Source organism: Homo sapiens, chromosome 8 (genome assembly GCF_000001405.40).
Source record: "Homo sapiens chromosome 8, GRCh38.p14 Primary Assembly".
NCBI lineage: Eukaryota > Metazoa > Chordata > Mammalia > Primates > Hominidae > Homo > Homo sapiens.
In genome coordinates, this window is record NC_000008.11 from 70,141,710 (window position 1) to 70,169,665 (window position 27,956).

A 27,956-nucleotide genomic window follows, 5' to 3' on the forward strand; every position below is an offset into this window, starting at 1 on the left:
TCACATTAGCTGATATACACGTCAATGCTTTACTTTCCAAAAGGGAGGTAGAGGCCAAGAGGAATAAGGTAAAAACTGATAATCAATACTCTCATTATAAACGATAATCATAGAAGATATCTTGAAGTCTATATGAGACTTTATCCTCAAGTCTCCTTCAGGGTATACTTCAAAACTGACCAAGAGTAGCCTCTAAGCAATGGAGAACTTATAGATCTTTCTGATATTTACTGTAGTTCTTCATAGCCAAGGCAAGGGAGTTCCTTGCCTTGTATCCACTGTATTCCTGACTATACAGACCTAGAATGGGTTAGGACAGATTTGTAAAAATCCCTTCCTTTTTGAGGTGTTAACAGTTATCTGACCACACATAAGAGCGTAACGCTGCTAAGCAGGACTGTGTTTGCTCTGTCCTGTCCTGGCCCCCAGGATGCTGATAATGGCCAAACATTTGCTAAGACTTGATATTCTAAAGGGAAAACTCTTCAAATGAGGTCTCTTCATTTTGAAGTGTTTAATGATGGATACATGAAGGTTCTGCTTTCAAATATATGGCTGCTTTCATTTTCTTTAATTACGATAAACAACTAAAAATGGGGTATATTTAACAAATGAACATGCATTGTGGGCGTTTCTTCACTTACGAAATGAGAATGTGCTGTGATGATTAAGGGTGAAAGGTAGTCAGTTAGATTTTAAAGTTAAGAGGCCAGGCGCGGTGGCTCATGTCTGTAATCCCAGCACTTAGGGAGGCTGCGGTGGGCAGATTGCTTGAGCCCAGGAATTCGAGGTGAGCCTGGGCAACATGGGGAAGCCTCATCTCTATAAAAAATACAAAAATTAGCCGGGCATGGTGGCAGATGCCTGTAGTCCCAATTACTCAGGAGGCTGAGGTGGGAGGATCACTTGAGCCTGGGAGGTTGAAGCTATGGTGAGCTGTGATTGAGCCACTGCACTCCAGCCTGGGTGACAAAGTAAGACTCTGTCTCAAAAATAAACTAAAATAAAAAGTTAGAAGGGTATTCTATTAACACATATTTTAAAAACCATTTTAGAATTAGATTTGAACTATAGAAAAATATTATGGGAAAAAGGGATTTTATTTTTTTAAAAATCTGTTATCTAAATAATATGACAAGATTATAGGAAGTCTAGAAAGCAAAAAAGAGAATGATCCATAATTCAACAATATTACTGCAATGATAAATGGGAAAGTCCCTCTCAGTCTGTGTTTTGTTTTTTTTGTTTTTTTTTTTTTGAGATGGAGTCTCACTCTGTTGCCCAGGCTGGAGTGCAGTGGTATGATCTCGGCTCACTACAACCTCCGCCTCCTGGGTTCAAGTGATTCTCCTGCCTCAGCCTCCTGAGTAGCCGGGATTACAGGTGCACGCCACCACGCCCATTTAATTTTTGTATTTTTAGTGGAGATGAGGTTTCACCATGTTGGTCGGGATGGTCTCGAACTCCTGACCTTGTCATCCACCCGCCTTGGCCTCCCAAAGTGCTGGGATTACAGGCATGAGCCACCATGCCTGGCCTAGTCTGTGTTTTTTTAAACAGCGTGAGAGTATTGTATGATCTTCACAGGCTGGACACCAGTGCTCTCTTGGCTGCTCGGATTTTAATACAGGCCTATTCTCAAATTCCTGCAGAAGATTCCTACAAGAACTCATATCTTCTTGTATTCTGCTGGTAAGCCTTAATAAATCATGGCTCCTTTTTCTCTTATAGAACTTTATATAAATCAATATTTTATTTATCTTAAATTTTAAATTAATCTTTGTTTACTGAATATTTAATGAAATGAATATGACTATATAATTAGTGAAGCAGTCAGTGCATGACATATGTGGCAGGCACCCAATAAATATTTGCTGAAGGAAAAAGTTACCTTAATACAGCACAGTTCACAGTTGCCATGAATTCCTTATAAACAATAGAAAGTTAAAAATCTACTTCTTCCCCTTAAATTGAACTCTTATATTCAGTTAACTGTGTAAACAGCACTCAATGTGTGTATAGGGATACAGGCTTGGCTAAAAATAAAATACCAACAGTTAAAACACCTACCACTATAAGTTCTTCTTACAAGATTTCTTTCCATGCCTTTGTTTCTAGTGACTCATTGAGACAGAGGAAGAAAGCTATAAACTGTGAGCAGCTTTGCATTAGAAAACAGCATCCTGCTATATCCATAATAAAAATATGTTACAGGGTACAGGATGTGGATGTGGTGGCAACAGCAATCGGTGCTACTGCAGTGACTTCCAATCTGAACTGGATATAAGCTTGGGAATATAATGGCCACTGAGACAGTGACTACTACCTAGGAAATGTGCCTAGGCAAATTGCCAGACACCTGCAATTATAGCAGGTCAACATCCAAACCTGATCACAGGCAACTTCCTACATCTTCAAAAGGGAGCTGGGGACCAGATCTGAAAGCTATTAGGCCAGGCATATTACTGTTTAAAGTTCTTTATTTTTAATTAGTACTTTTTGGAATAAGAATTTTATCACCTAGAAGTATAAAAGGTTGGTTGAATTTTAAGCTCTTATTCTGAAATTCTCCAAACACAAATAATCAATCCATAAGTTTTTGAGGTATCAGTAAATTATCCCTGGAGTAATTTTATATATACCCTGCAATGCCTAGAACAGTAACTGGGATAGAAGTGAAATAAGTCTCAGCTATAGGATTAATGGTTGGAAACCTCATAAAAGTAACAATCACAGAATTAAATGGTTAGCTCACCCAAAGGCTTTCCCACATGCCATTCTCACAGTGAAAATCTGTAGAATTTTCTCACTTTCAGATGTTATTTTCTAACATAAAAAGTTCACTTGAAAAATTCTACTAGTTTGATGTGGATAAATATACCATTAAATTAAATAACCCACCAATAAAGTAACAGTGCATTTGACCCCTTACCTGTGCTACTGTTCCCTAAATTTCCTTGGTTTCCTATCATCCCTTGATTACCCATCATTCCTGGCTGAGGTATCACTGAGTAGGGACTACTGTTTCTGATTGGTGGGAAAGGTCCAGCACCAGTTGGGCTTTGCAATGTGATGTCAAGTGGTAAATTCTGGTTTGGCAATAACCTGCCCAGTTGCCCTGGTCGTGGGTTATTAAAAGCTAAGGAGAAAACAAATGAAAATTGAAGGTTAATATAGGATAATGGAAAATAATATTAACAGTAGTGTTTAGGGACAATGTCTGTAAAATGACAAAGGTATGTATGTCAGGGACCAACTACCTAGATAAAAGACAAAATCACAGACAAAAAACACATGCAGCACCCCAAAGCATAGATGTGTGATCTAATCAACTGGTCTCTAATTCTTGACGATCTTGCAAAACAAAACAAACACATGTATATTATTTACCATATACCTTCCTCACCAATAGTAATTTCATTCATTCATTCATTCATTCATTCTCTCTCTCTCTTTTTTTATTCTGAGACAGAGTTTCGCTCTTGTTGCCCAAGCTAGAGTGCAATGGCACGATCTCGGCTCATTACAACCTCTGCCTCCGAGGTTCAAGAGATTCTCCTGCTTCAGCCTCCCAAGTAGCTGGGATTATAGGCGTGCACTACCATGCCCGGCTAATTTTTTCTTTTTTTTTTTTGAGACGGAGTCTCGCTCTGTTGCGAGGCTGGAGTGTAGTGGCCCGATCTCGGCTCACTGCAACCTCTGCCTCTAGGGTTCAAGTGATTCTCTTGCCTCAGCCTCCCGAGTAGCTGGGACTACAGCTGTGCCACCATGCCCAGCTAATTTTTGTATTTTTAGTAGAGACGGGGTTTCACCATGTTGGCCAGGATGGTCTCGATCTCTTGACCGTGTGACCCGCCTGCCTCGGCCTCCCAAAGTGCTGGGATTACAGGCCTGAGCCACTGTGCCCAGCCCTTTTTTTTTTTTTTTAATACAGGGTCTCACTCTGTTGTGCCAGCTGGAGTGTAGCAGCACAATTGTAGTTAACTGCAGCTTTTAACTCCTGGGCTTAAGAAAAGGTTAAGAGATCCTCTTGCCTCAGCTTTCTGAGTAGCTAGGACTACAGGTAAGTACCACCAGGTCTGGCTAATTTTAAAATTTTTTTGTTGAGACAGTGTCTCACTATATTGCCTAAGGTGGTCTCAAACTTCTTGCCTCAAGTGATCCTCCTGCCTTGGCCCCCCAAAGTGCTGGGATTACAGGCATGAGCCACCGTGTCTGGCTCCCAATAGTAATTTCAAATATATAACTGTATTTGCTAATTAAACCAGTGTTTTTTTCACGTTATAATATTCAGACTTAGGAGTACTGCTTTCTCACAGCTATGAAGCTATTAACATCTCTTACATATATCACCAAACCTATACATACATGGTTTGGATATTAGAACATCACTTCTTAACTGGGCTTTCCTAGGATTAGAATTAGATTAAAAGTGGTTACTCTCATTAGAAGTTAAAAATTTTAAGTGTGAACTCTGTTGCCTAAAGCAGTATTAAATTAAAGCTGTAGGACCCTGCTTACTTTTCAAAGTACAGCTTCTTTAAATTCTAGACATATTTGGATTTGATATGATTTTTATAGCTAGTTGACAAGAATTTATTGTGTACTAAGCACTAGACCAGCATCACACTGACAACCTATAATTTGTTAACGCTATTAAATTTAATACTAAGATATTACAAATTATAGTAACTTATTACATAACATCAAGTACTTTATTTTCCTGAATTATATAAACATAGTCTGAAATAGCACATTTAAAAGAAAAAGTTCTTAACCATCAATGATAGAAATAAAATATTTTAAAAAATTAGGGCTGAGAATGGAAATTATGTGCGTGCTTAATCATGACTTCCTCAGGTTTGGTTATCAGGTTGCCATCAATAATCTGAATACCACCAGGAGCTACAGAAAGAGGAGAAACCATAAATTCTACACAGTCCTTCATAACCTCCCCTAGGGCTAATGAGCATGGACTGTCTAGTGTGTCTGTTTTTTTTTTTGAGACTGAGTTTCACTCTTGTTGTCCACGGTGGAGTGCAATGGCATGATCTCAGCTCACTGCAACCTCCACCTTCCGGGTTCAAGCAATTCTCCTGCCTCAGCCTCCCGAGTAGCTGGGATTACAGGCGCCCACCATCATGCCCAGCAAATTTTTTGTAGTAGAGATGGGGTTTCACCATGTTGGCCAGGCTGGTCTTGAACTCCTGACCTCAGGTGATCGACCTGCCTCAGCCTCCCCAAGTGCTGGGATTACAGGCACGTGCGACTGCGCCCAGCCTGTCTAGTGTGTTTCTTACCCAATTCTCAACTCTTTTGACTTCGTGATCTCCCATGATCCACAATTAACTCTCCATTGCCCAAGAAAGAGTGAGGTTTGAGAGGTCACATGCAAATCTTTCGCGCGCGCGCGCGCGCGTGTGTGTGTGTGTGTGTGTTCTGAGATGGAGTTTTGCTCTGTCGCCCAGGCTGGAGTACAGCGGCGCAATCTCGGACCACTGCAACCTCCGCCTCCCGGGTTCAACCAATTCTCCTGCCTCGGCCTCCCGAGTAGCTGGAATTACAGGCACCCACCACCACGCCCGGCCCAAACTCATCTGTCTTTTGTTTTTCCTATTTCAGAATGGTCAGAAATCACTTGAGAAAAGACCTAGCAATGAAAGATGTTCTATGATTTGACTGATGGTTGCCATTTTTGATCTGAGAACAAATGCCAGGTATTGGCTCAAATTGTATCTGAAAAGGAAAAATCACTCTGTTTTGCCAATTTAATGCTGAAGAGGTTATCTATCTTTCATAAATTATGGCCTTGCTACATAACAGATATTTTCTTCCATTCAAGATTATCAGACAACTTCAGGTATTAATCAAGTTTGTAAACTGAGTGTTCATAGTAAACAAGTTTATCCTAAGCTTACAAAACTTTAAAATGAAAAGATAGAAGATGTTCTTTCTAAACAGACAACTTAACTTAGAATACATTTAGAAACGTAAAGTTCCACGTCAAGTGATGTTTATATGAAGATTCCTGAGACAGGGCAAGATTTTTAATGTGTGTAGCCCTTTCATGTAAAAATACTTTTAGTAGAATATTTTATTATTTTTTTTTAAATTTATTTTTTGTTACTACCAGCTGAGCAGTTTGGGAGGGTAGAATATTTTTAAATAGTGTATTATCCCTAAAAAGTCAGCATAGCTCCCAAATGTTATATATTTCAGTATTTCATTGTCTATTAAACACATAAAATCCAGGATAAACTCCATGTCTGAAGGCAGTCACTGAAATGAAGGGAAATATGACAATCAGTTGAAGAACTTCATCAATGTAGGTCAGTCTCCCTGTCCAGTGCTGATTAAATTAACCCACAAGAGAATGTGAGAGAACCATGCTCAGGAGGATCCATTTTGAATACTGTTTCAAAAGACCAGGACAGTAGATGGTGCTATTTGATCACAAAAACCTTAAAGTGACTAAGCTGGTTGCATCAGACTTCAATAATCCCTGTTTCTGATAGTGATTATATGGAAATTTCTTGGCATAACCAGCCATTTCTCATACTCACTGCTCTGTGAAATTCGCAGTGCTGTTTTCTGGGCTCCAACAGGTGTGACAGGGCTGTTTTCAGCTGTGAGTTGCATGAGGTCATTGATGATGGCTTGCTTGTCAACTGATCCAGCAGGGGCGCCTGGCCTCGTGTCTGGGAAAAGCTGTGGTAATTGACTATTCTGCAAATCATCCAAAATCTCCTCCAAGTTGTCCAGCTCACTGCCAGGCTGTAGTTGACAAACAGAAGAGTTTATCCAGTCTACTCTAAGAGTAGACACCACAAGCCCATTTGCAATCACTGACCTAACTGCCATAAGGCACCACAGCCAAATAAAATAGGTAGATTCCTGCATACCACAGGCCTAACAGATAATTGATCATCTTTTAAAAAATTAGGTTAACAAAGGACAAATAATTTAATCTCTTGGTCCTCAATTTCCTCATCTATAAAAAGAGATGGCTGAATAAGAAAGAAAGCTCTCTTCCAGCATTGTGATTTATTGGCAATTTATAAATTCTCCTTTATTTTATGCTTATCATTCAATTAATTATAAGAATATATATTTCCAATTAATTATGAATAGACTATGACTTTGGTCCAGGTCTAGGTTTTATCATCAAAACTCCCTAAGAAATAACAACAACAAAAAACTGGCATATAATGTAATCCAAATTTGCACCCAATCAGTATTTAACAAACAGTCATTTCCCTTCAGGATTTTTTTTTTTTTAATCTTTAAAAGAACACAGGGGTGGGGAGAGAGAAGCAAAATAAGCTTGAAGCATCCATGAACTAAGCACTGCCTTTTCAATTTGAGTAGTCCTTTTTTTCTGCTTGGACTTTCAATTTTGAATGACAATGGCTTTCCCAGTCTTTTGCCAGCTTAGGTAACAAAGGTAGGGAAGCAGGATAAAAACTGGTTGCCCCCCAAACATAGCACTATTAACCTAATTATACAGAAGCTATAAAAATGTTTTTTTTGTTTTTTTTTTTCTGAGAAAGGGTCTTGCTCTGTCACCCAGACTGGCGAGCAGTAGCGCAAACACTCATCCCTGTAGTCTTGATCTCCTGGGCTCAAGTGATCCTGCCACCTGAGCCTCCTCAGTAGCTGGGACCACAGGCATGCACCACCACCACCATGTCTGGCTAATTTTTTGATTTTTTTTTTTTTTAGAGATGGGGGTCTCATTTTGTTGCCCAGGCTGGTCTCTGAGCTCAAGCAGTCCTCCTGCCTCAGCTTCCCAAAGTGCTGGGATTACAGGAGAGAGCCACCGTGCCTGTCTACAGAAGCCATAAAAAATGTTTTTAAGTTTTCTCTTCCATTAAAAAAAAAAACAAAATTCAAGCACTAACATAAGCTAAGTATCACCACTATTTCACACTTAGCACTTTTCTGCTAGGAAGCTAAACTGGAATTTATTCTAGATTTTACAGATATTCTTTTAAATATAACCTATCTATGTGCCAGATATTTAAAATCAGATAGTGCATGCTAGGATTGCTTTCTAGTGCAGAAAGTAGTACGAACGATTTTCTTGATGTGTAAGTGGAAAACGTAAGTTAGTTTCCTCAGTCATTGGACTTTGAATCCTTGACCACAACTATTCCTTTCATCTACACTGGCAAATCAAATGAAATACATGGCATACATCTAATAATGAGTTACACTGAAAGTAGGATGGCTTACATTTTTATCCGACATACAATTCCTCCCCATGCAGAGGTTGGATATGCTAAGATTTTTGCAACTTACAGCAAATTTAACATCCATATGAGATGTTTTTTGATTGGAAATATTTCTCAAGTTAGGAAGAATAGAATGAAGTGAGATTTTATTTGGTTCTTCTCAGAGACAACTAGCTTAGCAATGATTGGGAGATCCATTTTCCTAACGCATTGTTAGAGCAATTACAAGACCATTTTTTAGCTAGTTTAGCCACTCAATTGTAACAAAAGAGGGAGGTATCTAATACAGGAGAGTCAGTTATGAATTAAGAGCTGGGTTCCAAAGTTAGCATCCTAAAGTACCAACAGTCACAGACAGGTCAAATTATCCTTAAAGCTCTGTAGGAAGGCACCGCACTGACTATCTCCTCCAACAGCAACAGTCTTTCCTCCAGAGTGGCAGCAAATTACTATTTCTTTGGCTGAGTCCTAAGTGAAGTAGTTTATGTAGGGGCCATACTGCATTTAAAAAGCCCATAGGTACATGTTCACACTATTAGAGCCACAAGGGAACCAAAACCCAGCAAAGTCATGTCACCCACCTCATGATCACTCCACTACGGCAGGTATTCATTGAGTTCAATGGTGGGCAAAACTGCTCATACTACTGAAATAACCATTTAATAACCATCTGTTCTTCCAGGAACATAAAACTGACTTTATGTACTTAAAATACATATGTAAAGTTGACTCCACTGTAATCTTCTTTATCATGTTTTGCTGAATGCATAAGGTATAAACTGTTATTCTCAGTATAAACATAGATTGTCCTCCAAGGACAGTGCCTAGAACTAAGTAATGGGCACTGAGTCAACACGATGATTTCTTTTAATCATATTAACACAAACTTTAAAAAATCTTCCCCAAATCAGTAATTTTTTTCATAGGAATTCCTATAATTTCCATTACTTTTTCAGAAAATGTTTCATAAAAATGTGTGGTAAATTTCCTTACACTTGTCATGAAGATAGATCAGAAAAAGCCTCTAATAAACTGAGAAGGTTATATCTGTTCTATGAAAACCAGTTTCCCTACTACAATGTTGTCCTGTGTTGAGCATTTTTAAAAGGTAGAAGCTCCATGTGTGGGGGTGAGGGAGGTGGGCTATAATAAGTGATGAGTTGCCTCTTGAGAAAGCTCTGCAGATTACTTTTAAGAGAAATATCCAAAATAAATAGGTCCATGTAAACAATAAAAGTAAAGTATGTTATTTCTCAATGGATACATTTATATTTGCTTCCAATCCCAGACATATGTAAAAGGAACTTTTGACAATATATATTAAGAACAGTCTAGACTCACACTTTTCCTTTTTTTTTTTTGGAGACAAGGTCTCACTCTGTCACCCAGGCTGGAGTGCAGTGGTGTAATCTAGGCTCACTGCAACCTCCGCCTCCCAGGTTCAAGCAATTCTCCTGCCTCAGCCTCCCCAACAGCTGGAACTACAGGTGTGCACAACCACACCTGGCTCATTTTCGCATTTTTAGTAGAAATGGGGTTTCACCATGTTGGCTAGGCTGGTCTTGAACTCCCAACCTCAGATGATCTGCCTGCCTTGGCTTCCCAAAGTGTTGGGATTACAGGTGTGAGCCATCGCGCCCGGCCTAAATACATTTTTCTTAAGAAAGCCATTCAGGATCTTCTTAGTATCAAAAGGAACTAGTTCTATGAAGGCTTAAAACTATGAACACTATTTGAATTCATTCAAGCTTGGCATCTGAAAAATGCACTATGAAGTTTTCCCAACTAGAGATAATATTGCTTTGCCTGTGTTTATTCCTTGTCAATTTATGGAGTACACATTTAACATTAATTGTCGTAAGTTCACTTTACATGTTCTTCTTCAAGGAGATAAAGTTCAGAATATCTATACCCCTCAGGTTAACAGTAACATTTGATGACTACAGAATTTTTTTTTTTCTGTATTCATGTAAGTTTTGGAAGGAATAAATTTGATCACATTAAGTTTCTGTTAAAAAATTTTCTCCCCTCAATTTTTGTAGGCTTTAATTCTCATCAAAAGTTCTTCTAGTCTCTATCCACTTTGTTAGGCACAATTTCTTTACAAGACAAAAAGATTAATGCCTTCCTTTAAAATGCTTTGCCAAGATACTTCAAAGTTTTGCTTAGGCATCTATTTGAATGCTCAAATTAGCCACATCAATTTGAGTTGTTAGTTTAAACTATTTCAGGCAGAAAATGAGTCAGAAAGATTTTTATAAAAGTTCTACAAAATGAAAATCAGACTTGATTTCTTTAATTTTTCATTTTTCTGGTTTTAGGATTTTTTCATGTCAAATCAACTTGTTCTCTGCAGGAAATATAAAAAGCACAAGCATTTAAACAACATCAGTATTCTAATAAATTACAAGGCATCTTTTCAAAATATTTTAAATAAAAAGTATAATTTTACCATATTTGCCTAACACAAAGTTGTTAAGAAATGGTAATACAATTCTACCACATCTGGAGAGAAATTTTCAGGACACTATCAGTTTAAAATATGGTTTGCCTTTCTAATGGAGTCAAATACCAAGAAGAAATTCTTTTTAGACTATTTCCAAACCCTTATCATACGTGTCTCAGCAGCATTAGAAAGGACCCAGTAGTATCGTTTGGTTAAGTATCAACCATGTTCCACTGTGTAAATAAGCATGTAACTTAAAAGTGTGTAAACATACTGGAAATTTTTCTGTTACTGTTTCCTGCTGGTTAGGAAATGCTGTAGAAACAAATGTTTAACCACTCTGCTCGGTAAAAAATGCTATTTTGGGTATAATAGCACCATCGAAGTACTTCCTGTCATTAATAAGTTAGTAATAGGTTAAACACACACTCAGTCAATGGCTCTTTTCTGAATCAAAATAACAAGACAGTTAACTGTGCAATTCAGACTCATTAATAGTTTGTTTTATCTCACTAAATAACTTATTGTATTCCCTTGAAATGAAAGAAAAGTCTTCAATAAGTTTGTACAGCAATCAATAGGAGATACAATTAACCTGTATTTGGAAACAGTGAAGGTGAGCAAGAGGTGAAAGAATCATTGTTTTTTTCTTAAAGTAAGTCATTCTAACTTTGATCTAAATATAGGTAATGCACACTTCCTGTGGTAACTTTTCAAGCTGCAATGTTTTTGATGTTAAAATTGCTCTAAAGCAGTACTTCTGGTGGAGTTTTACATGAGAGTAAAGGGAGGGCGAGACCAGAGACTGGATTTCATTAAGAAAAATATACTTACTATATGTGCCTCTGTGTGTGTGCACATGCATGTGTGCCTGTGTACACTGCTTTTTGATTCACCCCAAAAAAACAGATCTGTGCTGATTACACTCTGGACTTTATGTTTCCTAGGTGAGACAATTTTTATCAGAAAAACATTTCTCCTAAATAAATAACCTGAAACTGCAAGTGACTCAAGGAGTTTTTAAAAAACTCCTCTTTTGTCAGTTTCTTGTCTGAAGTTAGTGCAATCACATAAATAAATACAGAAATACCAAAGAGTGGCCCCTTTCCTTGACCCTCTAAGTCCCTTGGGCCTCAGATCAGGCCTAGGATAGAAATAAATCGTTTACACAGGGAAGGCCTGGCCACGTTAGACACTAAGCTAGGGGAGACCATCTTGCCCTCCAGCATGTGTCAAGAGACCGGAGTGCCATTGTCTGTGCCTGCCACTCTGGATTACCACTAGCTGTGTAGATTCTAATCTAGTACACCTCAAAAGATTAAAACACTTACAGGTGTTAATATGGTTTTACATTTCACTTTATTCAAGACATTGCTATTAATTTTCTGCTGAGACACCAGTTTCCCCATTTAATGATTTTACAGTGTTACGGAACAGCTGCTAATAGAACCTTGCACTAATATCTAAGTTTAAGGATTAATCACCCAAGACGTTTATATAATTTGGCTCCGCTTCCCTTGTGAAGGACATGAAGGTTTGAAAAATTGTATCCGACCTTTAGGAATGGTAGCAGCTGTCGAGACATCAAAGTGAAAGAAATAAGGAAGCCAAGTGCTTAGAAGCCTAGATGGAGCCCAGCTAGAAGAGCAAGTGTGGCCTTGGCTTCCCTGAGGATGGCTCTCAACCCCAGACCTGCCTCTGGGTTAGCTCTACCGACTCAGCAGAGCTCCAAGGTACAGCAAGGGGTGTGCTTTTCCTCTCTCCATCCATTGAAGACACTGACACATGAAATATCCTCTCGCAAAACAAATTTCAAGGACAAACCTTGAGTCATTTAAAGTAGGAAAGCCCTCTTGGCTTCTTCACTTCTTAACCAATCATGACCCAAGAACAGATAAGAAGTATAGGGCATATTCAGGGACTAGAGAAAAGTGATGGCTAGGGTAAAGTCTTTGATCATTGATTCCCTAGGAAACGTCTCATGCCAAGTCACTGTGGCTGTTAATAACCCATGTTTTCTTTAAATGGGTTTTAATTTTTTGAGACAGGGTCTCAATCTATTGCCTAGGCTGGAGTGCACTGGTGCAGTCATAGCTCACTGCAGCCTCCAACTCCTGGGCTCAAGCAGCCTCAGCCTCCTGAGTAGCTGAGACTACAGGTGCATGCCACCACACCTAGCTAATTTTTTATGTTTTCTAGAGATGGGGTTTCATCATGCTGCCCAGGCTGGTCTTGAACTCTTGTCCTCAAGCAGTCCTCCACCTTGGCCTCCCAAAGTGTTGGGATTACAAGCATGAGCCACCTCACCCAGTCTGTTTTTGTTTTTTTAATAAAGAAAAATAGCTTACTTTTTCCCTGTGATGTCATTATCTCCTTAGAGGATTATCAAGAATGATTTGGGGTGGAAGGTTGAGGAGATGTTGGTCAAAGGATACAAATTTCAGTTAGCCGGGAAGAGTAAGTTCAAGAGATCTATTGTACAACACTGTGGCTACAGTTAGTAACAATGTATTATATGCCTGAAAATCACTAATAGATTTTAAGTGTTTGTACCCCAAAAAGTATGTGAGGTAATGTATTTGTTAATTAGCTTGGTCTAGCCATTCCAGGATATGGATTTCAAAACAACATGTTGTATACCATAAATATATACAATTTTAATTTGTCAAGTATAAATAAGTATTATTTTGAATATCACTTAAGGTATCCTGGATTTTTTCAGGGAACTTATTTTTCAGACAATGAGAGCACATAATGTAGCCTATTATTCTAGTTTTGAATTTACATACCATGGCTCAGACGTACTAATATCAGTTCAATCTTTCTTTCTCCTTTCTACTATCCCTTTCCCTCTTAAATATTTTTTATACCAGTGGTCTAAGAAATTCTTTTGCATTAATCAGAAGTTTAGTTAAGAATAAAGAGAGGTAGAACGACCTTCATTGGGTTTCAAAACCAGTTAAACTCTGATCTTAAAAAGAGAGAAAGGTAAATAAGAAATAATTCAATTACGTCTGTTCTGACAAAGCCCAGTTTCAAGGAAGTGATTATCTCCAATTCAGGCAGCTTCTATAACAGAGGTCAGCAAACTACCACCAGCCTGTGGGCTAAATCTTGTTTTTGTATGAGCTAAGAATGAATTTACATTTTTTTAATGGTTAAAAACATTTTAAATATTTTGTGACACATGATAATTCCATGAAATTCAAATTTCAGTGTCTATAAGCAATGTTTTATCGGAGCAAAGTCATATTCAAGTTTGTTTACACAGTGTCTGTGGCTGCTTTTGCACTACAATGGTGGATTTGAATGGCTGTGACAGAGACTATATGGCCTGCAAAGCCTAAAATACTTACATTTGGTCCTCACAAAAAAAGGCCTGCCCACCTATGTTCTATAACAATGTCACTCTGCTAGGAGAGTATTTGAAACACACAGCTTCAGCGAGATTTTCAAGATAAGAACAACAAAGGAGAAAGCTTATTTTTATCCAATCACCTGAGACTTCAAAATGCCCCTATGGAGAAAATCCTTGATGGATACAGATTAGTACACCTGCGAGAAGATGTGATAAAACTTACCTGGTCACCAGGCTCAAAGCTCATCTCCTCCTTCTCAGTTTTCATTGCTATTAATTTTGTGTTACTGGCAGGATCTGTCTTACTGTCCAGTCTCTCAAGTTTGGGGGTTATTTCTGGTAAACCAATATCTTTAGTATCATCTTTATCTAGCAAATAGCGAAGTAGTGCATTCTCTTTCTTCTTGGGGCTCACCGGCTCTTGTTTAATAGTCACTTCTGATCCAGGAGCTGTGCTGCTGGACTCCTGGCTCAGGTCTTTGCCTGTGGCTTCTGCTGTTAACTTGGCCAAGTCCACAGGGGAACTGCTGTCCTGCAAGAGTCTGTGCAAAATTTTATGCTTCTCCTTGAGCGAGGTTCCATGTGTAGACCCAGAACCAGGCAAGCTACCTGTGGAGTCTTTGTTTGTATCCGACAAAGAGCTGGCTAAGGGCGAGGGCTCCATCTGATCAGATTTGGTGGTCAGCAGCTGCAGGAGTTTGGTCTGCCCTTTGCTGTCATGCAGTCTGCTCTGCCCGTCAGCTCTCTCACTGCTCACGGCCGGGGGCAGGTTGGGGTCATTTGTTTCCTTTTGCTCTCCAGGATGGCAGCTGCTCTCTGCTTGTCCAGTTGTACCTTCAGAGGGCTCCCCATATAGTCCAAAACAGTCTTTTGAGTCCAAGCTTCCCATCTTGCTGAGTGGGGGAGGATTCATATTAACTGGGGAGTTTTGCAAATTGCCCATTTTTAGGTCTGGTGAAGCCAACGATGACCCTAATGAGACCCCGTGCCCCTCGCTGAGGGCCTGAAGTGCATTGAGGGAGCTGTTGGTATAACTATGGCTATTTCCTGTGCTGCTGCAAACTCCCACAGGGGAATGCAAGCTTCCTGCAGGGGAAAACTGACTGGGTGGGATTCGAGGGCTGCCAGCCACTCCAGGGCTCATGCGATGCCTTGGTGAAAGCATGGAGGTGGGCTGTCCTGGATTCATGCCAGGGCTGCTTTGTGAGGGGCTGTTCATTTTGAGTGCATAGTTACTACCCTGAGGAGTGGTTGCTTGCATGCCTGACACATGGTTCATTCCCCCAGAACCACCAAACCTGCCCATGGGCATGCCCATTTGTTCCTTTGGGCCATTTATGGGAAAATTTATATTGCTACTGAGGGTCATGTCCTGACCTGGGTTCCCACTGCACAGGGCCTGATGGGCAGGGCTGTTAGAGCTAATTGGATTCAGTGGCTTCCCCATCGTTTGTCCAGTCAGATCCGGATTCATCACACACACATTCTGCTCTCTGTATAACGAGAAAAGAAAAAAATGTAAGATAAAAGGAAAAATACTTAGCAAGTTGTTATTAATTTTTAAAAATGATATGGCCTCTTCACCTTAAAAGAACAGGCTACATTTTAAGGATAGATAATACTTTGTTGAAATCATCTGCAATTATTGACAAGACTGAACATGTACAGTGTTGGACCAAGAGGGATGTTTTTCAGGCAACTCATTAAGATGTCTGGTTTTACAGAGGGGGTGTGTTTAAATTTGACTACTACTGTATTTAAATTGCATTTACTAGACAAGACATTAACAGGGTTCCAATTACATAATACATCTTTCTCATGAGTAGTTGAGAGCTTGTACTGTCTTAAAGAAATGAGTAGAGCTGTCTTCAGTTTTTTTTCCAGAGATTATAATTCCTAACAATAGACACATCTGTAAGCCCAGAGCTCTGATATTTACTACTTGGCTCAAGATAAACACGCTTAGGGGAAAACAACTTGCCCCTAACTGTTAAAAGAGAAACTCTGCCAGTTCTAGAACTAATAGTTACTAAAACTGTTTAGAATTAGATCACCTTGTTTAACAGATTTCCACTCATCTCCTCACCCCACACCCCTCCAAGTCAGAGCAAGACCTCAGAGCCAACAGCATGGGAAGGGAAGTTCAGAGTGACTTTAGTTTGGGATCTTATTCTTCTACTTCTGGATAACTCCATTCCATCTCCTTACTAATGACTAAAAGCAGGCTTTCTGAGCAAGATGATTTTGCAAGTTCTATGAGCTTTAATTTACAGCCTTGGCAGTCACTTTTGAGTTACCAAATGTGTTCACAAATCCAAATAAAACAGGTTTCACAAATTGTCAAACATCAGCTTTTCGTTAGGTGGGTGAAATTTGCCACATCTGTAATCACTTTCAAATTGTTTCAGTTTGAGGTTAGATTTATTAACAGTTGGCAAACAGAGTTGCCTGATTTTTTTACTCCTAAACAGTGAATTGAGAAATGTGATAAAATGGAACTCCTCAGCCAGAGCAACGTTATATATTTACTGATAGGACCTCATAAAGTTTTCCACAGCATAAGCATAAATATTTAGATAACTAATGAAATTTAATCATTTTCCTAAATATGTGCTCTAAGACAATATGGCTTATGACATTTATTTAAAAATCAATATTCAATTTCTTTATCTTCACTTTTTTATGAAAATGTTTATTACCCTTCAATTTAAGGTCTAATGTTGAGAAGTTAATTTGAACCAGAGAACAAAAATCTAAAATATTATTTGTAAATATATACATAGAAAGTTCTAGATTTAGGCTAGGTGTGGTAGTCCACACCTGTAATTCCAGCAATTTGGGAGGCCAAGGTGGAAGGATCACTCAAGGCTGGCGCATGCCTGTAATCACAGCTACTCAGGAGGTGGAGGCACAAGAATTGCCTGAACCCAAGAGGCAGAGGTTGCAGTGAGCTGAGATCGCGCCACTGCACTCCAGTCTGGGAGACAGAGCAAGACTCTGCCTCAAAACAAAACAAAAAACAAAACAAAACAAAAAAACCAAACAGTTCTACATTTAAACACACAGGAGCAGAAATCATACTAGTGACATCAATATTCCTGCCCTGCATTTGTTGCTACTGGGAGCTGATCAATAAATTTCCCTTTTTCAATGTAATGGGCAATCATGTCTAAGCAAACTTAGTGCCAACTGGGTTTTACAATTAACTAGTGTTAAGGCTAAAATTCAAAGTAGAGTCCTACTTTGCCAGTACAGTTGTTCTTTGGTTATATGGGGGACTGGTTCTAGCCTCCACCCTGCCCCCACGCTGCAGATACTAAAATCCATGGATGCTCAAGTCCCTGAAATTAATAGCATAATTTTTGCATATAACCTACACACATCCTCCTATATACTTTAAATCATTTCTAGAAATAATTTCTTATACCTGATACAGTGTAAATATAGTTATAATACAAATAATACAGTATAACATTATATATATATATATATATATTTTTTTTTTTTTCCCCCAAATATTTTCCATCTGTGGTTGGTTGACTCCTGGGATGCAGAAGCCATGGATACAGAGGGCCAATTATATTATGAATTGTCTTTTAGCCAACAGCTAATAACAATTTAATTTTATATTTTACATTACTGGGATTGATGAGAAGAAATGTCTAACAAATCCTCAAAGCTCTAAAATAATTTGCTGCTTTTGTAATATCTCCTCTTAACTTGGAAATGGAAAATGACTTCTTAGAACTAGGATTACCTGTGAAGCATATGTAAAGATATTACAAGTTGAGGTTCATTAGTAGTCTGAGAACGGATGAGTTTGCTCTTCGTTTGTGCAGCAACAAGAGTGCCATCAGACAAGGAAAAACGATAGATTTGACTGAATGCCAATCCTTGTCTCAGTACTGCAGGCAAGCAAGGAAACAGAAGGCACGTTTAGAAAAAAAAATTGAGGGGTCGGGGAGGACAAGACATAATAAGAGTAATCAACTTCATTAAGTTTCATAATAGTTTCCCACCAGCATGTAAAGAGTTATAAGTAATACTTTATGAGATTGAAACATAACATTTTAAAAGCACATTTACTTTTCACTGAAAATACCAATAACCTCAATTATCTGTTTTCCTTATGAAAAGGAGTAAGAGCCTGGACCCTCAAACTGTGTTCTTAAAATCTTTATTATTATGGCAAAACAGTGTAAACCATTTAACTGCTCAAACAAGCTTTATAATGATTTGCTTAAAATGGTAGAAAACAACACAATGTATAAACAGGGTATCTCTTACGTATACAATATGACTTTAATTTCCTTGTAAAACTAATACAAATATGAAAATAAAATTTATGACATTTAATATGTTCTCTGAATATTCATCTAGAAATTACGTACTGTTCAATCCATCATCTCACACACTACTCTCCCCCAGTCCTGTTTCTCACTGTGTAAGAAGTATTATTTATGTGGTTAGGACAACAGGAAGTAAAAGATAAACAATCAGAAGAATCTATTCAGAGAAAAAAAGGCTAAACAAAACTGAAACAATAAAAGTGCAAATCTTAGCAACACTGGAATTGGTTTAACTTTTAGATAAGGGATCAGGTGTTTCCATTTTCAAGACAATAACAAAATAGAACACAAATCAACTAGGTTAATATAATTTCTCTTAAAAGAATTGAGATTTATCTTTTAAAGCTACTATGTTTTATAACTGTCTTATATCACCTATTAAAAAAGAACATTTCAATTCAGTTAAAAAAAAAGACATAGAATTTAGTTCCTCTTAAACCATTTTAACAAGGCTACTATGTTGCTACCACATAATCCTCAGCACAAATTTTGTGGGTTGAATAGTTACCCCTAAAGCAACCATGTGTATTCACCATGCCACAAAACTGCCACAAGTGAGAGACAGAGAGAGAGAGAGAGAGAGAGGGAGAGAGAGAGAGAGAGAGACTGACATATAATGTGGATTCTAATTTCTTCGTAAAATTTCACTTTAAGCAATTTGTCTAATGACTCCTCTCTGCAGTTTCAGTTAGATACTACATTTAGGTTTCACTTTCTGCCATCAACTGTTGCACAATGTTAGTCTGAAGTGGAAGTACTGAAAATGAATTACTGAACATGTGAGTATCTTGCTTTGCACAAAGTGTCTAAAAGATGACATAAATGTAATTTTTTATAGTAAGACTTATATTTCCAATGGCTTATAATTTCAGAATTTTACCTGACCTTGGCTGTGATCCCTAAAGATTTTCATTTCCTCTTGGTCTACATCCAACACCTCTGAAAAGTAGGTATCTGTGAGCACGCACCTGAACACATTTAGGAAGTGCCTCCATTTAAACAACGCTTTGCAGTAGATTTCTGTTCAATGTAACTGATCATTCCTGATCTTACCTATTTCAAAAGTTTGAAATGTCTATACGGGGTTTCCTTCCAGTGGGTCCCATCTGTTTAAATCTAGTGCAGTGCCTGATCCATCTGTGTAAATCCTTTTGTAAGGAATCAGGTTGTCAAAGAATTAAACTCAGGACCCAAGGATGCTGAACATGTTTGCTTATGCCAGTTTCTTAGTTTTTGTTATTACTATTCTTCCTATTTTAAACCAGATGTAATGAAATAGTAGGTTAAATATTGATTTCTGTCAATGTAGCATCATTATTTCCTTGTATTCTTTCAAACTTGAAGAAAAATGACGGAAGACACAAGTTGTTGGATTATGCACTTATTTCTAAAAAATAGGATGAATAGGATGAAAAGAATGAATAAGATGAGGGGAAAAAAAGGGCATGGGAGAAACAGGTCATTTATTAAGATTTTTGCTTTTTTATAAGTGATCTAAAAAGTATAAAGTTTAAACATACCAACACTATTGGTAAAGTGCCAGATGCACATTAGGTGGATGATGACAAACTGAAACTCCATTTTCAATAACTAGCTACAAATTTTTTTCTGCAAGGATGCAGACAACTGTTGAAGCTGAGTTACAAGCTGCACTGCACTGCATGAGTCCCTCACGTGCAGCATGGCGCAGCTGACAGTGCATGTGGAGCCCTGGCCAACCGCACTGCTGGGACACAGAGAGAAGGACAGTCTCCCTCCCCAAATTAGCACATACTAAAGCAAAAGAATTTTTTTTTTTTTTGGTTCCTACCTCTTTAACAGAAAACAACAATGCACTTGAGAAAAAGTGATTCTTTGGGAAGACCTTCGGAAGCAGCATGACAGTGACCAAAATGAGCTCAGATGGACGTCCTGCACTGACACTGAATGCTAGAGAGTCAGTCATTTCACTTGCCTGAACCTCCTCGTCCCCTTGTCCAGAGTGAGAGACGTGATGTTCACATCACAGGCTTGCTGTGAGGGCCAGTGAGAGGAGGCAAAAGGGATAATGCCACACAAAGACCAGGTGCTCAATAAGGGCTGCTGTTATTACTGAAGTCTTGGGCTCAGTTCCAGCTGTCCTATTGCTTAAGTCTGTGAGCTGAGACAAGTCGTGTCAACTTTTGGGCCCTCTAGAAACACCTGGATAGTCTTTGTTGGTTACCACCTTGAAGAAGGGCTTGGGGTCCCACTGTTACCTTCACCAGGGGTTCACTCACTCTCCAAAATTCCACTTACTCTTATATTCAGATTCTAACTGAATCGTTAATATTTCTTTTCATTAGATGGTACTTATAATCTTGTCACATATCTAGAAGCCCCTGGATCAAAGAAAATGACCTCTTCCTCCTTTTGCCTGCCTCTGTGACACTATCATCTCCTGTTCTACTTTCATCACTCTTCTGTCCTACAGGTTCTCCTGTTAAATTTTCCTTTAGATGGCAACACTGGGGCCAGATGAGACAGCTCACGAGAACAGTCACCAGCTCTGTTCCCAAGGTGAACTCCAGGAATCATTGACAGAAAGCTCCCACAGGAAGCAATAATTTAAGAAAAATCATTTAGAGATGCTTACCTTCATGATGATGCCTCTTAGCATAGGACACAGATTCTCCTTCATGCTGCGCATGGAACTTCTGAATACACCTTCTTACCAGGTCCTCCCAGCCTGGTTTCATGGCTGCTCTCATGGTGCTGGTATCCAGAGACGTGATCTTGCCTATTAAGTAACAGCAGGCATTATACCTACATGTTGATCTATTCTTTATGGAAATAATTTTTTTTTTTTTTTTTTTTTGAGACAGAGTCTCACTCTATCGTCCAGGCTGGAGTGCAGTGGTGCGATCTCAGCTCACTGCAACCTCTACCTCCTGGGGTCAAACGACTCTTGTGAATCAGATGCCCAAGTAGCTGGGATTACAGGCGTGTACCACCACATTTGGCTAATTTTTGTATTTTTAATACAGATGAGGTTTTGCCATGTTGGCCAGGCTGGCTTTGAACTCCTGACCTCAAGTGATCCTCCTGCCTCAGCCACCCAAAGTGTTGGGGTTACAGGTGTGAGCCACCGTGCCCAGCCAGAAACAATTAAATTTTAACAAGATTTAAATGTATTTATTTAAACTAGGTAACATAAGTACATGGAACAAAAGGGTATACAGTGAGAGCCAGTGGCTCTCTCTCCGGTCCTCCAACTCCTTGACATTTCTACTGCAGCAGCAATTGCTAGTACTAGCATCCTTACAGTCTTCTAAATAGAGTCCTTGCATTCCCAAATATGTAAGTATTCTAAAATGATTCCTTTGGTCTTCTTTGGAGAGGAAATTTACCTTGGAGATCCTGGCGAGTAGTAAAACTTTCTGATGAGGGAAGAACTGGTCTTTCCTTCATGGGAACTCTTCTTGCCACGCAAATCAAGCAGGACTGCAAATCTTAAACCACACATGTTTACATTTATCATATTGGGCTTTTCTAGTGATTCAAACAAACCCAAGTGTATTTATGACAGCACAGCCTGTCATTAAAAAAGCAGTAAGGGAGACAGTGATGAAACACTATGTACCTGAGCTTCCTACTGGTTTTATTCTCTTCATGAAAGTGGTAGGTGGGTAAGGGAGACGGAGGGTGGCTGTGTAAGGAGAGCTGGGGAGCAAAGGATAAACTGCCAAGTCCCCGCGATACATGTGATGGAAATACATCGACTACACTAAAACGTTAATAATCTGAAACCCTCTCTCCAGCAGTAGAAAAAAAAATGAAATCCTTTCTTTTTAAATGGCTGATAGAAAACCAGGTTAATTTGTAATGAAGTACAAAAATGATGAAACTAAAATATGATACTCTTGTTTTGTCAAGGGTTTGCTTCTTGAGTTTTAGGGTTCAGGAAAACTAGGTACACCTTATGCCAAACTAAGTAAATACTACAATGGCAACATGCAATTTAAAGCAAAGAATATAAACTGGGTCTAGACGCAGATTCAGAGAACGACTCCCACAATACCTAGAAAATGCAGCGTGCACCAGAACAGCTGCATTATAGTTCAGAATCTTGGCTGTGGACGGTTTCTCACACAGCCAATTCTAATCACTTAATCCTCACCTTGCTTCAACTGTCTTATGCGTCAGGGTTCATTTCTGGAGGAAAGGGAAAAGTTTTATTTATCTTTGTAACATGCAGAGTACTCTGCACAGCCCTTTCCATTTAAAAAACACTGGACAAATGCTGTTGTCAAAAAACTTAAGTAATCCCTTCATGTCTTCTTATATCACTGATTTCTGATTGTTTACCTCTAAATTTGAGAATTTCTTGAATTTGACAAAGAGTTTATTATTTTTCTTTGCTCCTGCTGCTACCCTATCTAAAATATCAGGCTGCCTCAATTTCATCCTCCACAGGTATTCATGCTGTAAGGCGGAGGTCCTCTACAATCAGTACTTCACTAACTACTATAGGACCCCACACTGCCTCCTTGGACAGATTTTTCTTTCTCAACTTTTACAGAAATTTTAGGATATAGTTTTTAACTTGGCTGTTCCTGAATTGCTCTACTGTAGTCTTTTAAAACTGTTTCATGTATTATTTCTTCAACAAGACTGAAATATCCAGTAATAGCTGGTATCACAAAACTAAAATGCAATTATAGTCCTCAAGAAAATAACAACTAAATTTTTGGGCACTACGAGATAAACACCTTTCTAGCTACTGTATGAGTTATTAACTCATTTAATCCTCTTAACAGCTCTATGACACACGTAGTAGCATTATTTCCATTTTACAGACAAAAAGATCAAAGCACAAAGTTTAAGTAACTTGTCCAATGTCACGCAAACCTTCGGCAAAGCCAGGATTAGAATCTGAGCATGCCATGGCTCAGAAACCCTGTGCTTATGCTATACTGTGTTAACTTAACATAGAACGTACTTTTAAATGTACAAAAAATGTTTATAAAGCACAAAGTAATAAATTAGCTCAGCTATTCCTTTTTTATACTGCCTTGGAATATTATCAGATGGATAAATTAGCAGCACTTACTCCGCTGCATAAAACAAAATAAAATCATTTGACCTAGGCAAAAAACTTAATTTTGAAATACTATGTGTTTATTATCTCTAACAGCTCTAATATTTCCTTCTCAATAAAATTTAAATTTTAAAATAAGCATTAAATAACTAGCATTCAATGCCAACCACAGTTCAGCATATTCATTTAAACCTTATTACATTCTGATACTGGTATTGGTGACTTCACTTGATAATAAACTGTTGCTCAGAAAGGCCAAGGATTCTGTCCAAAGTCCCAGAGCTGGGAGCAGCTGAATTAGGAGTTGGCCTGTCTGATTATGTAGCCGGGGATGTTTTCAGTCACAAGTGGTCCTCAGCTCTTTCCCTTCTGCTCCCCACGCACAATGCACTCTTCAACACTGCCTTGTATTAGAGTGACACTCAGCTGTGTGGACGGCTTGCCTAGTGGGCTCAGGAAGTGAATGCTACATCAGCACATCTTTATGGCAAACAGCCTAATAAGCTTAGAGTCTAAAACCCCCTCCATTCCCCACTCCTGTCTCTATCCTCTCTTTAGTACCATTGTATTTTATCAATTCTGGGCCCAGCATCCATGGATAGGCTACATGGATTCCATTAACCCCTTGAAAGTATATTTAAAAGGTTGTTTTAACTGTGTGCATTTTTCTTTTTTCTTTTCTGAGATGGAGTCTCACTCTGTCGCCCAGGCTGGAGTGCAATGGCGTGATCTTGGCTAACTGCAACCTCCGCCTCTCAGGTTCAAGTGATTCTCCTGCCTCAGCCTCCTGAGTAGCTGGGACTACAGGCACATGCCAGCCACCACGCCCGGCTACTTTTTGTACTTTTAGTAGAGACAGGGTTTCACCATGTTGGCCAGGATGGTCTCGATCTCCTGATCTCGTGATCCACCCGCCTCAGTCTCCCAAAGTGCTGGGATTACAGGCGTGAGCCACCGTGCCAGGAAAACTGTGCATTTTTCTAGGGCTGTGGCTCACAGCTTGCACTAGATGTTCAAAGAGCCTAGGATCCCTCAAAAGTGTGCTCACTAATACAGTTATACTAGTACAGTAGCCGCTAACTGCATGTGGCTATTCAAACGTAAATTTAATAAAAATTAAAACTCCCGCCCCCTAGCTGCACTACTGACATTTCAAGGCTCACCAGCCACACATGGCTAGTGGCTGCCACACCAGACAGTGAAGATATGTCACTTCCACCATTGCAGATAATTCTGTTGGACAGTGCTGTTCTGAAGACTTAAAAATTTCCATCACAAAACAGTAAAATTGAAAAGAACAAAGATACTGCCTCCTCACTTTTCTTTGGGTGACCACTAATTAAAGTGTGAAGGAAGTAGCACAGGAATAAATACACAGACACACAGAACACCCTAGGGATTCTGTCCCACCTTCTCCTTCTTCTTTGATGGACTTTGGTTGAGAGACAGCGAAGCACTGCATAGTTTCATATTTCTGATGAGCTTCCTGGTTATCATGACCCTCCTCTTCTGAATCAGGTAAAGGTTTTACCAGCATCCGACAATTGAAGGTATGGCTGTTCCGCCTCGGAGGTTCGCCAGACCAAGATCCCCCATTTACTGAGCAAGGCAAAAGTAATCCAGTTTTACAAAGAAACAAACATCAGATTCATTGCCTCTGAATTATTAAAATGATGTAGGAAAAATATGATTATTTCATCTTTATGTACTACTTTTATACTTGTCTAAATACTTTCATAATCTAGAGGAGGAAAAATCTTTACCATTTTTACAACTTGGGAATATCTTGGGATTTTCTTTTTTCCAATTTTTTTTTCTTTTATTATACTTCAAGTTCTGGAATACATGTGGAATCTTGGGATTTTCAAAACATTTTCTACACTACTTCTTTACCCTGACTCCTTCCCTTCAAGTCCAGTCCTGGATTATTTGTTACTAGAATACTATAGTTTTCTACTTTTGCGTCTTCCTAACTGATTTCTTAGAAATTTAGTTCAATCTACTTGCATTCTAATTTTAGATAAGTCAGCCCTGCTCAAAATTCTGTGAGTGGCACCAAATGTAGTGCACGTTAAATTCTTTCAGAGGATTTAGACTTGATGTAGTCTGGAGGATGAAGTCCATTAACACAGACTCTCACTAACCAGCTCCATTGCATCCATCTAACGGGATCTTCCACATTCCCCTGCACAAGCCTCCCCATGCTCCACCATACCGGGCCCGCATGGATGTCCTTGCTCCTGCTGCCACCCTATCTGACATATCAGGTTGCCTCAGTTTCTCTCTCCATAGGTACTCATGCTCTAAGGCTGAGGTCCTCTACAATCAATACTTTACTAACTACTCCCCCATACTGCCTCCTTGGGCAGATTTTTCTTTTCTCAAATTTTACAGAAACTTTAGTATATAGTTTATAACTTTGTTTTTCCTAAGTTGTTCAGTGGTAGTCTTTTTAAATTGTTTCATGTACATTTCTTCAATAAGACTGAAAAATCCTTGAAAATACAGTGCAAATGTCATTTCTTTTCAAGTTAACTACTTCAGACATCTATTTGAGTATTAAAACTAAAAAAAGTATATATTTAAGAATGAGACAATGAAAGAGAGGAAAGACAACAATTATTTTTGAAATGCATTAGAGATAACAATGAAAGAAATAAAACAATGACTGATTTTGAGAATTAAAGGGTGTTTATGGATTTTACCAGGTTAACTTCCTCATTTGACACATAAAAAAAATCTGATGTCCAAAGACATGTTCAACTACTAGAAAAGTTGGAATCAGAATCAATCCTAATTCTCATTTTGGTGTTCTTTTCTATATCATTCCTTATGCTTTATCTAAAATATACTGGGGACAGTAGGACAATAGAACAGGAGATCAAAAAAAGGGTGAGTCATAAGAAAACTAATATATTCTCCAGTCATCAGCTAAAGAAAATGGAGAAGGACATGTAGGTGTTACAGCGAATCCAATGGCCCATGAATGGCCCAGTGAACCCAAAGAGCCCATGGCCACTGGGCTGTAGAATGAGAAAGGAAACAAACCCTCGAAAGGAAAAAGTTAGCTGTAAGAAATTATTTGAAAATTACAGAAAAACCCATAACTAGCTTTTTATGTTTTTGCAGACATTTGGGAAGTTTATTTCAGCATCAGCATTTTATTTTATTATTATTACTTTTTTGAGACAGAGTCTCTGTCACCAAGGCTGGAGTGCAGTGGCGTGATCTTGGCTCACTGAAATCTCCACCTCCTGGGCTCAAGGGATTCTCATGCCTCAGCCTCTGGAGAAGCTGGGATTACAGGCACGAGCCACCATGCCTGGCTAATGTTTTGTATTTTTTAGTGGAGGCAGGGTTTTGCCATGTTGGCCAGGCTGGTCTTGAACTCCTGACCTCAAGCGATCCACCAGCCTTGGCCTCCCAAAGTGCTGGGATTACACGGGTGAGCCACTGAGCCCAGCCAGTATCAGCATTTTGAAAAGCTTATTTACAAAATAAAGACTACACAGAGTAGTCAACTGAAGGGAAAAAGAGTTCTTATTAAGTCAGATTAATAAGTTGAAAGTTAAAAGGATACAATATAAAGTAAGGCAAAGAGCTCTTTAGACAAGTGAATTAATAATAGTGAATTAATAAGTAGAAGTCTTTTAAGGAAGTCATAAAACTACTGAAGAGATCTGAAAATATTAGTTACTTGAAATAAGAAATCCCATTTTCTTAATTTACTAGAGAATATAATAAAGGAATCCTACACAAGTATTCATACATTTTGTATCACTGTTATAGTCACTTTGAACAAAGAATTATCACATAAAGGAAAAGCTAGCCCGAATGAAATTTGAAAAGGACCTTTTCCTACTTATTACAACAATAAGACCAGCTAGTATAAACAATCTTAAGAACAGAAGTACTTGCCAACTCAGGATTTGACCTTATTTTGCACTTCCTTCAATCCGTGAAGATGTTCTTAGCATCATCAATTTGAGAATATTAAAAAAAGAATCACTTAGTGAGTGGGAACAGCAGTACTCTAGAGCAGCAGCTAAGGTGGGCCCACGCTGTGAATCACCCACTGCACAGTGTGTCCTTAATCATCACGTACTCGGACGACATCTCCAAAATAAGATGAAGTCAGGAAATTCCAGACAGGGAGAGTAGGCTAAGGCAGCGGCATCTGGTGATCACACCTACAGGGCCCACTGGAGAGTCTGCAAGACCGAAGAGCCCATTCAGGGCTTGGGCTATAGCATCTGAACCTCTCCATCTGCCACTTGTTCCTTAACATTTTATTTTTAGAATGTGTACACACCTATAATATGCTTCATGTGCAGGACTCAAAATACGCTGAATCTCAAACTTCTCATGACCTTTGACTTTTCAGATGGTCATGGAGAAAATGGACAAAACAAAGTTGGCTAGCATGGAACAGGGTGAGGCAATGTGTCACCTTAAAAAAACAATCTCTGCATTATAGCACAAAGGACAGATGCTCAAGGGGATAAATACC

General features: G+C 38.8%; 1 protein-coding gene across 49 annotated transcripts in view, besides 1 other annotated feature; it reads right to left on the reverse strand.

The window, feature by feature from the left end:
* The window catches only part of NCOA2 (nuclear receptor coactivator 2), a 346,665-nt gene that overhangs the window by 31,928 nt on the left and 286,781 nt on the right, over positions 1-27,956 (reverse strand). For 36 of the 49 annotated variants that reach the window (XM_047421240.1, NM_001321703.2, XM_017012963.3 and 33 more), the window contains 7 exons: positions 24,857-25,045; positions 21,756-21,857; positions 21,002-21,145; positions 17,796-17,943; positions 14,262-15,531; positions 6,564-6,774; positions 2,933-3,139 (listed from right to left, as the gene is read on the reverse strand). In XM_047421240.1, coding sequence (XP_047277196.1) covers positions 2,933-3,139; positions 6,564-6,774; positions 14,262-15,531; positions 17,796-17,943; positions 21,002-21,145; positions 21,756-21,857; positions 24,857-25,045 — 2,271 coding nt within the window. The remainder of the gene's footprint in view (positions 1-2,932; positions 3,140-6,563; positions 6,775-14,261; positions 15,532-17,795; positions 17,944-21,001; positions 21,146-21,755; positions 21,858-24,856; positions 25,046-27,956) is intronic. The other 13 variants (XM_047421258.1, XM_047421256.1, XM_047421262.1 and 10 more) reach the window with 1 other exon arrangement.
* Positions 6,910-7,647: an enhancer, noted in NCBI's record as "NANOG-H3K27ac hESC enhancer chr8:71060854-71061591 (GRCh37/hg19 assembly coordinates)". NCBI's record gives its function as "activates a minimal SCP1, AML or CMV promoter by ChIP-STARR-seq in naive H9 embryonic stem cells {active_cell/tissue: H9 hESC(naive)}" and the evidence as "EXISTENCE:reporter gene assay evidence [ECO:0000049][PMID:30033119]".